The sequence below is a fragment of the Homo sapiens genome, chromosome X (assembly GCF_000001405.40).
Source record: "Homo sapiens chromosome X, GRCh38.p14 Primary Assembly".
Classification (NCBI taxonomy): Eukaryota; Metazoa; Chordata; class Mammalia; order Primates; family Hominidae; genus Homo; species Homo sapiens.
In genome coordinates, this window is record NC_000023.11 from 119,755,724 (window position 1) to 119,770,878 (window position 15,155).

Consider the following 15,155-nt stretch of genomic DNA (forward strand, 5'->3'; position numbering starts at 1 on the left):
CATCAGTATTATTACAATTTGCAATGCAAATATCTACTCTACCTCCAGCTTTTTGGGAAGTCATTTCCCAGGGCTTGAGGGGTTTTTGCCCCACTCCCTTGGAGGGGTAGCAGATGTTTCAGATAACTGGCATGTTAATTTTAGGTGGGTGGGTACTATCCCTTCTGTTTTCCACTCCCTCTGCCCTACTCCCTGCTATCAAATTCCTGAGACCCTCTCTACTAAAATAGAGATGGGTGTTGCGGTTCTGGGGAGTGGTGTGTGCAGCTGGTGACCTAGGGTAGAAAGCACTTGCTAATTAAAGATGAAACAAGTTGCTAGGGAGGCACCGTGGCTTTGGTCTCTAGCAGCAGAGTTAAGCAAGGGCACATGTATCATGGGTCTGTGGCACTGGTCAGGCGGCTGCCTTTGCAATCTTTGAACTGGAAACAGATATTATTCATGCTGATAGGGAAGAGAGTTGCCTGCTTAGTGGTGACGAAAATTAATAGTCCAAGCATTCTTCCATCCTGCATTTTCCATGCTGGCATTTTGACTTAAAAAAAAATATTGCTGCAGCTGTTTGCATATTCTGGAAGTGTGTGTGCCTGTGTGCGGTTTGGTGTTTACAGATCTGGGGTTGCGGAGAGGAGTCTCCAGAGCAACGGAAGTAGCTGCTTGTCAGTCAGGATTCATTTTGAAAATGAAAGCCTGAAAGCTTGGGGCCCATTCTGGGCCTAGGCCTGGTCTCTGAGAAGTCAGCGAAGGCCAGGAGGTGGCTTTGGCCAGTCAACTCAGTGAATAAACCACTGAATCTCTTTTAAAGAAAAATGAATTGACCAAATCTATGAGTTGCTTTTGATGTCCTGCAGATTGGAGTCTGGAGCAGGGATGTGGGAGCAGGCATTGAGGTGCTGATTGTGGATACATGTCCCCCGCCCCCAACATACACACACACAATCACATTTTCCCAGCCTGCCAAACCAGAACAAGGTAACAAATATTTCTTGGATAACTACTAGGTGCACAAGGATAGTATGACATAGCTGTCCAAGAGTTTATAGTTTAATTGGCATATGAGAGCAAGGGGAGAGAGATGTAACACAAGGCAGTCTTGGGGCCAAAGAAGTAGCAGAAACACAGGGCTGGGGAAAGAGAGGGATCACTTTGGGCTGGGATAATCAGAGGAGGCTTGCTAGAGGTGGAAACTAAGCGCAACCTTGAAAGAAAAGAACTTCACTACATAGAAGCTCTTCCAGGCAGAGGAGTGTAAGTTATAGATACGCTCACGTTACAAGTCTATCCTTTTGGCTGGAATTTGGGGCTTGTATGTGATTTGCAGTTGATAAGCCAGGCTTGAATGCCAGTTCCTGTGTACCAGAACAAAGGCTATGGTGTCGCACAGACCTGCTCTGCCACTTCCTGCTGGGTGACCTTGAGCAAGTAGCCTAACCTCTCTGCAAACTGGGGACAGTAATGATTCCCAGCACTTGAGGTCACTGGGAGGATTAAAAGAGTTAACATATATAACGCAACAAGCACAGTGCCTGGCACATAGTAAATGTTCAAAACCAAATTACAAATGCATAAACTGTTCTGAAGGAAAGCTCTAGATATTTAGGACTTGTTCCAAATACGTGAGGGCCAAGGAAGAAAAGCTTCCGATACCTTCTATCACTGCTGCCACAGGTGGCCCCGAGGGAGTGGGCTGATTTGGCCTGAGCCTCCATCCCCCTTGGCCTAGACTGCTGGAACAGTCTTCCGACTTCCTGCCTCTGCACCTCCCAAATCACCTTTTTAACACAACCTCCATCATGGCTGTGTCTCTCCCCGGCTCAACAATCTTCTATGGCTCCCCGTTGCTCACTGACTGAGCTCCTTAAGATGCTGGGGGTGTGGAGGCAAGAACCACTATTTACTAAGGGAAGGGAAGAGCAAAGAGTACGCTGGTATTAGGAGTGAAAAAGAAAAAATATCCTTTTTTAAAAAGCCCCTAAGCTTTGAATTTGTAGAAAGCGGGGCCCTGGGGAGAGAGCAGGGATGCATCTCTAAAGAGAACAGGGCGCTCCTGCGGCGCCGGCTCAGATTCACCTGTAGCTGCTTCTCCAAGCCAACCTGGGAAAATTGACGGGAGGGAAGAGGGTGGAGAGCAGGACAGAGAGGGCGGTGCAGAAGGGGAATATCCCTCCTGAGTTCCCTGGAAGAGCGTCAGCCTGGACCCTGGTCTTGGGCTTCTCTGCTGGAATCCTGGGCAGCCCCGGGTGCTGCGGCGAGGGTCAAGGCCACACAAAGGGCAAGGCAGGCAGACGAGCCAGTCACATGGGGCAGTCGAGCTGCCTGCGTGAATGCTAGGCGCGGGACAATGGCAACTCCGGGACAAAGTGCAGGGAGACTCCTGAAGAGATAAGAGGGAAGGGCGAAGGAAGGGGGCGGGGAGCCAGAGCCTCGGAGCTCCAGGACCGCGCTTTGGGAGACCGTGGCTGGAAGCCGAGCTCGGCCCGCTGCGGAAGGGGCGCCCTCGCGCCTCTACACTCTAGCCCCGGCTGGGATGCTGAGAACCGCGGCTTCCAGGGCCGCAGGCGAGCTCCCAGCCAGTCCCCGCGCCCGCCCTTCGGTGCTGGAGGCGGGGCTGCCGAGCTCACCTGGCCGTTTGGGGTGGGACCGCCCGCGACCCGGGGGAGCTGCAGAGGCGGCGGTACCCAGGGAAGTGGAGCTGGGCTTGCCCTGGGGACTTGGCTGGAGCTCACACCCCTCCACGCCCCCCAAGGCCTGCGCGGGGGCCCTCCCCTAGCTCCCTCCCTCCTCCTCCTCCTCCTCCTCCTCCTCTCCTTTGCTCCCTCCCTCCGAACCCAATTGCTCAAGCAGCTTCCTTCCCCAACGCCAGCGCCAGTTCCTCTCCCGTTGGGGCCCGGGAAGGGCAGCTAACGCTGGACACTGGGACGGCCGCGGCGGCAGCTTCAAGACCATGGCCCAGCTCGGAGGGGCCGCGAACCGGGCACCCACGGCCTCTCTCGCGCCGACCTCGCAGAGCCTGCGGTGCGCCCCGCAGCCCCGCCCCTCGAGAGCGGACACTGGTAGCCTGGGCAGGTACTGGGGCAAAGCCGCAGCCGCCGCCTCCCGGGAGCACCCCTTCCCAGGCACGCTGATGCACTCTGCAGCGGGCTCAGGGCGCCGGCGGGGAGCGCTGCGGGAACTGCTGGGGCTGCAGCGGGCGGCTCCTGCGGGGTGGCTGTCGGAGGAGCGCGCCGAGGAGCTGGGCGGGCCGAGTGGGCCGGGCAGCAGCAGGCTGTGCCTGGAACCGCGGGAGCACGCGTGGATTCTGGCAGCCGCCGAGGGCCGCTATGAGGTGCTGCGGGAGCTGCTGGAGGCTGAGCCGGAGCTGCTGCTGCGGGGCGACCCGATCACCGGCTACTCGGTTCTGCACTGGCTGGCCAAGCACGGGCGCCACGAGGAGCTCATTCTGGTACACGATTTCGCCCTACGCCGGGGGCTGAGGCTCGACGTGAGCGCCCCAGGCAGCGGCGGCCTCACGCCCCTCCACCTGGCGGCCCTTCAGGGCCACGACATGGTCATCAAGGTGCTGGTGGGCGCCCTGGGTGCTGACGCTACGCGCCGCGACCACAGCGGCCACCGGGCCTGCCACTACCTGCGGCCCGACGCGCCTTGGAGGTTGCGGGAGCTGTCGGGAGCCGAGGAATGGGAGATGGAGAGCGGCAGCGGGTGCACCAACCTGAACAACAACAGCAGTGGCACCACTGCGTGGAGGGCCGCGAGCGCAGTGGGCGCGACGGCTGTGGAGACAAGCAGGAGAGTGGCAGCGTCGCGGACCAAGGCGAAGGACACCGCGGGCAGCCGGGTGGCGCAAATGCATAGCCTTTTCCGCCATCTGTTCCCCTCATTCCAGGACCGTTGACAGGGACAGAGACTGGAGAGCTAGGAGGGGCTGTGACACTGTGGCGATGGCTAGGTCCTGGGTTGTCCCGGGTTCCACCGAAGGAGAGGCGCCTTGGACGCTGCTTGGGCCTGCAAGGAACAGAACACGTCGGGGTCCGACTCAGGTACTTGTCTCAGGTCTCCTGTAACCACCGGCCTGGAGGACCCGGGGACTCGGGCACCACCTCACCAAGAGAGAGTGAAGGACCAAGCTGGCCTGGCTCCGAGTTCCAAAGCTACAGGACTAAGGAGTTGGGAGCAGGGAGCGTGGTCCTGCTTGGGAGAGGGCAAGTTAAGCTTCCAGGGGCCATTTCTGGGCAGGCCGACGCGCTGGGTTTATTAGGAAACATTCGCTAGAAGAATGAGTTAAGATTGTAAACCACCAATGCAGAGAAAACGCCTAACTCTGCCGGCCTCGCTCGGCCATTAATGGGTCTTGGGGTGCGGGTAGAGTCAGCCTCTGACAACCTCCTCCTGAGACGACCCAGCCTTACTGGTACTTTTTCTCATGTATCACAGGTTACTTCTTATGTATATTAAAGTGGAATATGTGTTCTTTTCACATGACAAGGCTGTCCTTTCAGTGTTTTCCCCCACCTCCCTTACTAACCACAAAGGAAGAAACTGCATATGTTTGCAGGGTAGAGGTCACCCAACCATGGCCGTGATGTTGTGCCCCCCGGGGCAGGCTCTGGGCCTCCTTCTCAGAACAAATGGCCAGAGCTGTGCACAGAAGAAGCTACTTCCACTTGGATCTGAGGAGAAACATACAGTTCACCTCTGTCCTGAGCTCTTTGATGGTCTGGCCTCAGGCACCAGCCTCATCCTAGAAGAGTTGTCATATAGGGGCCTTGGGTTGGGGGTAAAAGGCAAAAGTTTCCAAATTTACATTTCTGATATTTCCACGGTCAGTCATGTAATTTACCTTGATTTGTGGCCTCTAATGAGACACACCCACGGGCACTTTTTTTTTTCCAAGATGGGGCTTTCCTCAGTAGCATTTATTTATTTATTTTTGAAATGGAGTCTCACTCTGTCACCCAGACTGGAGTGCAGTGGCGCAATCTTGACTCATCGCAACCTCTGCCTCCCGGGTTCAAGCAATTCTCCTGCCTCAGCCTCCCAAATAGCTACAGGCACCCGCCACCACGCCCGGCTGATTTTTTTTTTTTTTTTTTTTTTTTGGTATTTTTAGTAGAGACGGGGTTTCACTATGTTGGCTGGGCTGGTCTCGAACTCCTGACCTAGTGATCCGCCTGCCTCAGCCTCCCAAAGTGCTGGGATTACAGGCATGAGCCACCACGCCCAGCCAGCAGCATTTATTTATTATTACTGTTTTTTGAGACAGAGTCTCACTCTGTCGCCCAGGCTGGAGTGCAATGGCGTGATCTAGGCTCACTGCAACCTCTGCCTCCTGGGTTCAAGCGATTCTCCTACCTCAGCCTCCCAAGTAGCTGGGATTACAGACGTGCACCACCACGCCTGGCTAATTTTTGTATTTGTAGTAATGATGGGGTTTCGCCATGTTGGTCAGGCTGGTCTCGAACTCCTAACCTCAAGTGTTCCCCTGCCTCAGCCTCCCAAAGTGCTGGGATTACAGACACGAGCCACCACACCTGCTCAGCAGCATTTAAAAAATTAAGTTTAAGGCTGGGTGTGGTGGCTCACAGCTGTAATCCCAGCACTTTGGGAGGTTGAGGCAGGAGGATCCCTTGGGCCCAGGAGTTCTAGACCAGCCTGGGCAATATAGGGAGACCCTGTCTCTACAAAAATATACAAAAATTAGCCAGTTGTAGTGGTGCAGGCCTGTAGTCCCAGCTACTAGAGAAGCTGAGGTGGGAGGATTGCTTGAGCCTGGGAGGTGGAGGCTGCAGTGAGTAAAGCATTCCACTGCACTCCAGCCTGGGTGACAGAGTGGGACCCTATCTCAATAAATATATATATTTCACTTACGTAAAATTCTTTTTAAAAAGTTAAGTTTAATGCATAAATTGTAGCTTGCAAAATTGCTCCCATTCAGAAATGGCATGAATTAAATAGACTACAGGAGGGTTGACTGAGCCTGAAAGGCCAGGAAAGCAGTTGCTGGCTACAGACCCATGCTGCCTTGGAGAACAGTGCATTTTAAAAATAGCACTGTATCCCTGAAGGCTTGGGTAGCCCTTGCAATGGACTGTCGCGTTCCCCAGCCCTCTCATCCCAGTCCGTGAACACCAGCCAGAAACAGTCACCACTAACAAACAGCCCAGAAACGCCACCCTGAGCCCATCCATCCAGGTTTCCATCTCTGCCTGGTGGGCCTGTTTGCTTCTGTGCTCAAAACTTTCCTACTTTCCTTTATTTTTTATTTTTGAGATGGCGTCTCACTCTTACCCAGTCTGGAGTACCGTGGCAACGATCATAGCTCATTGCAGCCTCAAACACCTGGGCTCTGGTGAACCTCCTGCCTCAGCCTCCCAAGTAGCTGGGACTACAGGCACATGTTGCCATGCTCAGCTATTTTTTTTGTGTGTGTGTCTGTACAGACAGGGTCTCGCTATGTTGCTTAAGCTGGTCTCGAACTCCTGGGTTCAAGTCATCCTCCCACCTCAGCCTCCCAAAGTGCTGGAATTACAGATATAAGACTCTGTGCCTGGCCCACACTGCCTTCCTTTAGTAACCCATGAGGGTCTTCTCAATCATGAAATGATCCAAACCCCCTTGCTGTTTTCAGCCTGTCCCATGTCTCCAGGAGCTACACCTTAAACACACTTACACAGTGTAATAGAGCATTTCCTTTGTCTTTTCTTTCTTTCTTTCTTTCTTTCTTTTTTTTTAGATGGAGTCTTGCTCTGTTGCCCAGGCTGGAGTGCAATGGTGTGATCTCAGCTCACTGCAACCTCCGCTTCCAGGGTTCAAGTGATTCTCCCTGCCTCAGCCTCCTGAGTAGCTGGGATTACAGGCACCCACCACCACGCCCAGCTAATTTTTGTATTTTTGGTAGAGATGGGGTTTCACCATGTTGGCCAGGCTGGTCTCGAACTCCTGACCTCAGGTGATCCGCCCACCTTGGCCTCCTAAAGTGCTGGGATTACAGGCATGAGCCACCGTGCCTGGCCTTCCTTTGTCTTTTCTAAATGAACTTCTTTTCTTTAGTAATTGAAGGAGGGAGGGCTAACAGTTCCTAGATTCTGGCAGTTGGCATTGGCATCTGGCATTAACTCTCTCCACCCCGTGCCCATTTTATAGATGCGAACAGGCCAACTGATGCAGGACTGTGGTTTCTGTTCCACAACCTCCCCCTTGATAGCTGCCAAGGTGGGTTGGGCTTGGTGAAGGCTGTCAGGGCAGGGCCTTCTTGCCACTTGGCTGAGTCTGCAGGCTCCTGGCTTGCAGGGAAGATTGGTGTGTGCTGAGCATTCAAAGGACACTTATAACAGTAGTCCCCTCTTTATAGGAAAAGTTTGAACCTAAGCATCTTAACTGTTAGCAGATCTGGGGGCCTGAGACAAGCGTTCACCCTACTCTTTCCAAAACGAAAACCAAATTACCTGGAAGATTTGAAAACGGTTTTCTGTAGTTTTCCTGTAGTCAGCTACTCTTCCCCACAGATTTTTCTCATCATGTGATACTGCCTAGCCTATCTCCTCCATGTAAAATTGAGGTTTGGCTGCAGGGGACAAACTCCCATGCTGAAAACTCTCCGTGCCTCACATCAAGCCGTTGGCATTTCTGGTATGCTTTTTGAGGCAAGACTGGTATGCTTACCCCAAGAGAAAGAGCAAATTCCCCGAGAAACCTCTTTCCAGGGGAGCAAAGTGGAGTTAAGCAGATGATGCAAGACTTCATTCTAGCAGGGGAGCCGAGCAAGAAGAGGAGACAGAAGCAGGGCTGTGATGGATCAGGGGGAGGGGGTGCTGAGGGAGCGCAGGAGGCAGGGCCGGATCCAGGTCAAGAGGAATAGAAAAGGCTTTTGGGGAGGAAGGTGGTGCCTGATCTGAGGCTCGAGGGGTGAGTGGGAGTTGACCGTTGAGTGTGGCAAGTACCATGCACTATAAAGGCAGAGGGTTTGGCAGGAGGGTGGAAGCTGGGGAGTGGTTAATGGCAAGGCTGGAGAAGTGGAAGGGGGTCCAGATCACCTAAAAGAGGTTCATGAAGTTTAGCCAAAAGGTAGTTGGGAATCATGGAGGGTTTATAAGCAGAGGAGTAGCATGATGAGATTTTGGAAGATCACTCTAGCAGTCACCTGGAGGATGAATGTGCCAGGGGAGAAAACTGGCGGCAAATGCATCGCAAAAGCAAAACACTTCTAAGCAATGCTTTCAGAAAAGTCATACTAACAAGGCTGTATGCCTGTAGTTGCTGTTTGCCTGTAGTCCCAGCTACTTGGGAGGCTGAGGTGGGAGGGTCACCTGATTCCAGGAAGTAGAGGCTGCAGTGAACATGATCGTGCCATGGCACTCCAGCCTGGGCAACAGAGCAAGACCCTGTTTCTAAAAAAATTAGTCATTCTTCACCCCAGGAAGTTCAAAGACCCCTGTGAGGGCAGTGCCTTTCAAACTTCTCTTTTTTTCTCCTCCAAAGTCTTTGCTCTAATGAAGCTTACCTAGAATCCCCATGTGTAAATCTCCCCACCCCCGCCTCTATTCTAGACAGACAGTCCTACACGGTGGCCCCTGGAGTAAAATTCAAAACCACTGGTGTGGTGGAAAGCTCTCAGCCTTGCCTGGGTTCAAATCCTAGCTCCCGATTCATGACCTTGAGCTACTTGCTGGCCTGAGTGGCAATTTCCTCATCTGTGAAATGGGACCAATAGAATATTTTTTGCAGGTTTGTTCTGAGCATTCAAGATAATGTATGTGCAACATCTGGCACACTGCGTGACACATAGGGAATAGGAAATAACAGCTGTTTGAAAGAATCCTAAGGGGCTCAGCAGGTTCTTGTGGCAAAACTCCATTATCTGCTAGGGTAGTCCAGGAGGGATCTTGTGGTTTACCTGCATTATGTCAGCTTTAAAATGAATTTGCATTTATTGCAAGTTATTTTCCATCTGTGCCAGAGGAGTGACTGTTCCTCAAAAGAGATGTTGGCTCCTCTGCTGATGTTCTTCACAAGCTATATATTTTTACTTTTGACATAACAACCACTTGCTGAAGTGCTTAGTATGGCTAAAAAGGATCCAGATGCTAATAGTCAACAAGATGGGAAAAGGCCCTGAAGGCATTTTAGAATTCACTAAGGGCAGGCTGGCACAGTGGCTCACGCCTGTAATCCCTTCACTCTGGGAGGCTGAGGTGAGGGGTTCAAGACCAGCCTGGCCAACATGGTGAAACCCCGTCGCTACTAAAAATGCAAATAGTAGTTGTGCATGGTGACGGGTGCCTGTAATCTCAGCTACTCAGGAGGCTTAGGCAGGAGAATCTCTTGAACCCAGGAGGCAGAGGTTGCAGTGAGCTGAGATTGCACCACTGCACTCCAGCCTGGGTGACAGAGCAAGACTCTGTCTCAAAAGGTGGATCACCTGAGGTCAGGAGTTTGAGACCAGCCTGGCCAACATGGTGAAACCCCGTCTCTAGTAAAAATATGAAAAAAATCAGGCGTGGTGGTGTGTGCCTGTAGTCTCAGCTACTTGGGAGGCTCTGAGGCACGAGAATCGGTTAAACCTGGGAGGCAGAGGTTGCAGTGAGCTGAGATAGTATCACTGCACTCCAGCCTGGGTGACAGAGCAAGACTCCATATCAAAAAAGAAAAAAAAAAAAATCACTAAGGCCACAGGCCTAGGAGGACAGAATGGGTTTTTTTGGGGGGTGGAAGGGAAGGAAAGAGGGTGCCACGCCTGGGGTACCACTGACCTGCATCCCTACTGCTCTAGCTCCAGCCCAGTCTCAAAGGGCCTCAGGTACTGCTCTGGCTGCTGCTCCCAAAGCCATAAGCCTTGGGGCTTCCACATGGTGCTAAGTCTGCAGACTTGCAAAATTGAAGAGTGACTGAAGGCTTGGCAACTTCCACCTAGATTTCAGAGGAAGTATGGGAAAGCCTAGATGCCCAGGCAGAAGTCTGCTGCAGGGGTGGTGCCCTGCAAGAATTCCTACCAGGGGCCAGTTGAGCTGTGGAAGCAGGGCCACCACCCTCGAGACCACAGAATAGTGCAGCCACCAGCAGCACTCATCCTCAGCCTCAAAAAGCCTGTGGCAATGGACTCTAATCCATGAGAGCAGCCACATGGGCTGCTCCCAGCATAGCCATGGGGATGGGGCTGCTCGAGGCCTTGGCGGCTCACCCCTTGCACCAGTGTGCCCAGGATGATGGGACATGGAGTCAAGGGAGATCATTTTGGAACTTTAAGATTTAATGGCTGGCCAAGGCAGGACGGTTGCTGGAGCCCAGGAGTTTGAGAGCAGCCTGGGCAACATAGTGAGACCTCGTCTCTACACAAAATTAGAAAATTAGCCTGGCATGGTGGTGCAAGCCTGTAGTTTCATCTACTCAGGAGGTGAGGCGGGAGGATTGCTTGAGCCCAGGAGGTCGAGACTGCAGTGAGCCATGATCGCACCACTGCACTCCAGCCTGGGTGACAGAGCGACAGAGCAAGACCCTGTCTCAAAAAAAAAAAAAAAAACAAAAAACGATTTAATGTCTGCCCTACTGTGTTTTGAACTTGTGTGGGGCCTGTTACCCCTTGCTTTTGGGGATATTTCTCTTTTGGAATGGGAGTGTTTACCCAATGTCTGTTCTACCACTGTGTCTCAGAAGTAAATACCTTGATTTTGATTTTTTTTTTTTTTTGAGATGGAGTCTCGCTCTGTGGCCCAGGTGGAGTGCAGTGGCGCGATCTCGGCTCACTGCAAGCTCCGCCTCCCGGGTTCACGCCATTCTCCTGCCTCAGCCTCCCCAGCAGCTGGGACTACAGGCGTCCACACCACGCCCGGCTAATTTTTTGTATTTTTAGTAGAGACGGGGTTTCACCGTGTTAGCCAGGATGGTCTTGATCTCCTGACCTCGTGATCCACCCACCTCGGCCTCCCACAGTGCTGGGATTACAGGCGTGAGCCACCGCGCCCGGCTTGATTTTTTTTTTATTTTTTGAGATGGAGTCTCACTCTGTCGCCCAGGCTGGAGTGCAGTAGCGCGATCTCAGCTTACTGCAACCTCCATCTCCCGGGTTCAAGCGATTCTCCCGGCTCTGCGTCCTCAGTGGCTGGGATAACAGGCACGTGCCGTCACGCCCAGCTCATTTTTGTATTTTTAGTAGAGACAGAATTTCACCATGTTGGCCAGGCTGGTCTCAAACTCCCGACCTCAGGTGATCCACCCGCCTTGGACTCCCAAAGTGCTGAGATTACAGGCATGAGCCACCGTGCCCAGCCTGATTTTGATTTTACAGGCTCACAGCAGGAAGGAACTTGTCCTGAGTCTCAGATGAGACTTTGGACTTTTGGAGTTAATGCTGGACAAGTTAAGACTTGGGGACTATTTGGGGGGATGATTGTATTTTGCAAGAGAGAAGGACATAAGATTTGGGGGGCCAGGAGCAGAATGATATGGTTTGAATATTTGTCCCCTCTAAACCTCATGTTGAAATTTGACTCACGGGCCGGGCGCGGTGGCTCACGCCTGTAATCCCAGCACTTTGGGAGGCCGAGGCGGGCGGATCACGAGGTCAGGAGATCGAGACCATCCTGGCCAACGTGGTGAAACCCTGTCTCTACTAAAAATACAAAAAAATTAGCCGGGCGCGGCAGCACGCACCTGTAGTCCCAGCTACTCGGGAGGCTGAGGCAGGAGAATGGCGTGAACCCGGGAGGCAGAGGTTGCAGTGAGCCGAGACCGTGCCACTGCACTCCAGCCTGGGTGACTCAGCGAGACTCCGTCTCAAAAAAAAAAAAAAGAAATTTGACACACAATGTTGGAGGTGGGGCCTAAAAGAAGGTGTTTGGGTCATGGGGGTGGACCCCTCACCAAGGGTTTGGTGCCATTTTTACAGTAAAGGGTGAGTTCTCACTCTATTAGTCCCTGTGATAACTGATTTTTTTTTTTGAGACGGAGTCTCACTCTGTCATCCAGGCTGGAGGGCAGTGGCACAATCTCGGCTCACTGCAACCTCCGCCTCCCGGATTCAAGCGATTCTCCTGCCTCAGCCCCCTGAGTAGCTGGGATTACAGGCGTGGTGACGCGCGCCTGGCTAATTTTTGTATTTTCAGTAGAGACAGGGTTTCACCATGTTGGCCAGGCTGGTCTCGAACTCCTGACCTCAGGTGATCCACCCACCTCAGCCTCCCTACGTGCTGGGATTACAAGCGTGAGCCACTGTGGCCGGCTGAGAACTGATTGTTGAAAAAAACCTGACACTTCCCTCCTTTCTGTCTTCCTTCCTCTATCACCATGTGATGCCTGCTCCCCTTTGCCTTCCACTATGACTGGTGCAGCCTGAGGCCTTCACCAGAAGCAGATGCTGGTGCCATGCTTCTTGTGCAGCCTGCAGAACCGTGAGCTAAATAAGCCTCTTTCCTTTGTAAGTTATCCAGCCTCACGTATTTCTTTCCTTCCCCACCAAGTATTTCCTTCTTTCTTTTTTTTTTTAATGTGGCCCAAGATGAGATATTTCTTTTTAAAAAAAATTTTTTTTTATACAAACAATGTCTCCCTATATTGCCCAGCCTGGTCACGAACTCCTGGGCTCAAGCAATCCTCTTCCCTTGGCCTCCCAAAGTGTTGGGATTGCAAGCATGAGCCACTGTGCCTGGCCCCCCAAGTATTTATTTATTTATTTATTTTTGAGACAGAGTCTTGCTCTGTTGCCCGGGCTGGAGTGCAGTGGCGTGATCTCAGCTCACTGCAACCTCTGCCTCCCGGGTTCAAGGGATTCTCCTGCCTCAGCCTCCCGAATAGCTGGGATTTCAGGCTTGCATCACCATGCCCGGCTAATTTTTGTATTTTCAGTAGAGACGGGGTTTCCCCATGTTGGCCAAGCTGGTCTCCAATTCCTGACCTCAAGTGATCCACCCGCCTCGGCCTCCCAGAGTGCTGGGATTACAGGCATGAGTCACCGCGCCTGGCCTACAAGTATTTCTTTATAGCAACACAAAAATGGACTAAGACAGACATAATTGCAACCAGCGAACTTACCTTGTTCTTCACTCACGGAAGTAAAAGAGCAACTTGGTAAGTGCCCACCAAATATTAAATATGTTAGATATTGTTTTCAGATAAAGTCATAAACTGGAGTCAGAGTTAAACCTGAAATCCTCTGAAGAGAATCAAATTATACAAGTCCTTCATCTCCTGGCCCTATTCATCTGTGGGAATGCCCCCTAACCCCAGCTAACATAACATATATTCCACACCAAGACTCCCCATCTTCCCTCCTTCCCTTCATTCTGACAAAGGAGCATGCCTGTCCTCTTTCAAGATATCGCTCATGCTCTCAACCGCCTCTCCTCTCAGGGTTTACTGACATCAATTGTCTTCTCCTGCATCTTCAAACTTACCCACAGTTTAGTTCAGTACAACAGACATTTTATTTTTAACTTTTTTCTTTTTTGAGACGGAGTCTCACTCTGTTGCCAGGCTGGAGTGTAGTGGCGTGATCTTGGCTTGGCTCCCAGCAACCTCCACCTCCTGGGTTCAAGCGATTCTCCTGCCTCAGCCTCCCCAGTAGCTGGTGACAGGTGAAGACAGCAGGACTTCCTGGGTCGAGTGGGGACTTGGAGAACTTTTCTGTGGAGCTAAAGGTTTGTAAACGCACCAATCAGCACTCTGTAAAAACGCATCAATCAGTGCTCTGTGTCTAGCTAAAGGTTTGTAAATGCACCAATCAGCACTCTGTAAAAATGCACCAATCAGCGCTCTGTGTCTAGCTAAAGGTTTGTAAATGCACCAATCAGCACTCTGTAAAAACGCACCAATCAGTGCTCTGTGTCTAGCTAAAGGTTTGTAAATGCACCAATCAGCACTTTGTAAAAATGCACCAATCAACAGTGTGTAAAATGGACCAATCAGCGCTCTGTAAAATGGACCAATCAGCAGGATGTGGGTGGGGCCCAATAAGGGAATAAAAACTGGCCACCCAAACCACCAGCAGCAACCTGGTTGGGTCTTTTTCCATGCTGTGGGAGCTTTGTTCTTTGGTCTTCACAATAAATCTTGCTGTTGCTCTACCTTTATAAACTGTAACACTCACCGTGAGCGTATGCAGCTTCATTCCTGAAGTCAGTGAGACCACGAACCCACTGGAAGGAAGAAACTCTGGACATATCTGAACATCTGAAGGAACAAACTCCGAGACACATCATCTTCAAGAGCTGTAACACACCGCAAGGGTCTGCAGCTTCATTCTTGAAGTCAGCGAGACCAATAACCCACTGGAAGGAATACATTCTGGACACATGGGACTACAGGCGTGCTGCATCATGCCTAGCTAATTTTTGTATTTTTAGTAGAGATGGGTTTCACCATGTTGGCCAAGATGTTCTCGATCTCTTGACCTCATGATCCACCCGCCTCCACCTCTGAAAGTGCTGGATTACAGGCGTGAGCCACCCCGCCTGGCCTATTTTAAGTTCAGGTGTACATGTGTGGGTTTGTTATATAGGTAAACATGTGTCATGGGGGTTTGTTGTACAGATTATTTCATCACCCAGGTACTAAGCCTAGTACCCATTATTTAGAGATGGAGTCTTGCTCTGTCACCCAGGCAGGAGTGCAGTGGCACTATTTCAGCTCACCTGCAACCTCCACCTCCCAGGTTCAAGTGATTCTCCTGCCTCGGCCTCCCGAGTAGCTGAAACTATGCCCTGCCTGGCTAATGTTTGTATTTTCAGTGGAGACGGGGTTTCACCATGTTGGTCAGGCTGGTCTCAAACTGACATCTGGTGATCTCCCTGTCTCAGCCTCCCAAAGTGCTGGGATTACAGGCATGAACCACTGCACTCTCCCATTATTTTTCTTGATCCTCACCCTCCTCCCACCCTCCACTCTCTGATAGGCCCCAGTGTGTGTTGTTCCCCTCTATGTGTCCATGTACAACAGACATTTAGTAAGTCATTAATAGGAGTGTCACTCTGAGTGACAAAAAAGCTCAAGTCTTCCCTAGCCTTCTGGCTCAAACTTGTCTCTTCTCTTCATAGTAAAGCCTGTCTGCTGAGAGGTCTCCTCACTTCATCATCTCCATTTCCTTACCTCTTCCTCAGTCCTTAACTTTCTGCATTCTGGCTTCTGCCTCTATCATCCCAGAGTAATTGCTTCCAGAAAGGGCGTGGTGG

The 15,155-nt window shown here is 51.7% G+C and overlaps 1 protein-coding gene across 1 annotated transcript, besides 7 other annotated features; it reads left to right on the top strand.

Annotated features, from left to right (window-relative positions):
* Positions 389–448: an enhancer, noted in NCBI's record as "active region_29894". NCBI's record gives its function as "activates an Ori minimal core promoter by ATAC-STARR-seq in GM12878 lymphoblastoid cells {active_cell/tissue: GM12878}" and the evidence as "EXISTENCE:reporter gene assay evidence [ECO:0000049][PMID:35858748]".
* Positions 459–658: an enhancer, noted in NCBI's record as "active region_29895". NCBI's record gives its function as "activates an Ori minimal core promoter by ATAC-STARR-seq in GM12878 lymphoblastoid cells {active_cell/tissue: GM12878}" and the evidence as "EXISTENCE:reporter gene assay evidence [ECO:0000049][PMID:35858748]".
* Positions 2,615–2,764: a silencer, noted in NCBI's record as "silent region_20965". NCBI's record gives its function as "represses an Ori minimal core promoter by ATAC-STARR-seq in GM12878 lymphoblastoid cells {active_cell/tissue: GM12878}" and the evidence as "EXISTENCE:reporter gene assay evidence [ECO:0000049][PMID:35858748]".
* Positions 2,865–4,479, top strand: SOWAHD (sosondowah ankyrin repeat domain family member D). Its single transcript, NM_001105576.3, has one exon. The coding sequence runs from the start codon at positions 2,945–2,947 to the stop codon at positions 3,890–3,892; it is 948 nt and encodes a 315-aa protein (NP_001099046.1). The 5' UTR covers positions 2,865–2,944; the 3' UTR covers positions 3,893–4,479.
* Positions 2,875–3,174: a silencer, noted in NCBI's record as "silent region_20966". NCBI's record gives its function as "represses an Ori minimal core promoter by ATAC-STARR-seq in GM12878 lymphoblastoid cells {active_cell/tissue: GM12878}" and the evidence as "EXISTENCE:reporter gene assay evidence [ECO:0000049][PMID:35858748]".
* Positions 4,726–4,795: an enhancer, noted in NCBI's record as "active region_29896". NCBI's record gives its function as "activates an Ori minimal core promoter by ATAC-STARR-seq in GM12878 lymphoblastoid cells {active_cell/tissue: GM12878}" and the evidence as "EXISTENCE:reporter gene assay evidence [ECO:0000049][PMID:35858748]".
* Positions 4,806–4,875: an enhancer, noted in NCBI's record as "active region_29897". NCBI's record gives its function as "activates an Ori minimal core promoter by ATAC-STARR-seq in GM12878 lymphoblastoid cells {active_cell/tissue: GM12878}" and the evidence as "EXISTENCE:reporter gene assay evidence [ECO:0000049][PMID:35858748]".
* Positions 13,025–14,224: an enhancer, noted in NCBI's record as "BRD4-independent group 4 enhancer chrX:118902711-118903910 (GRCh37/hg19 assembly coordinates)". NCBI's record gives its function as "activates an origin of replication core promoter dependent on BRD2, P300/CBP, MED14 and CDK7 cofactors, and independent of BRD4, by STARR-seq in HCT116 cells {active_cell/tissue: HCT116}" and the evidence as "EXISTENCE:reporter gene assay evidence [ECO:0000049][PMID:35650434]".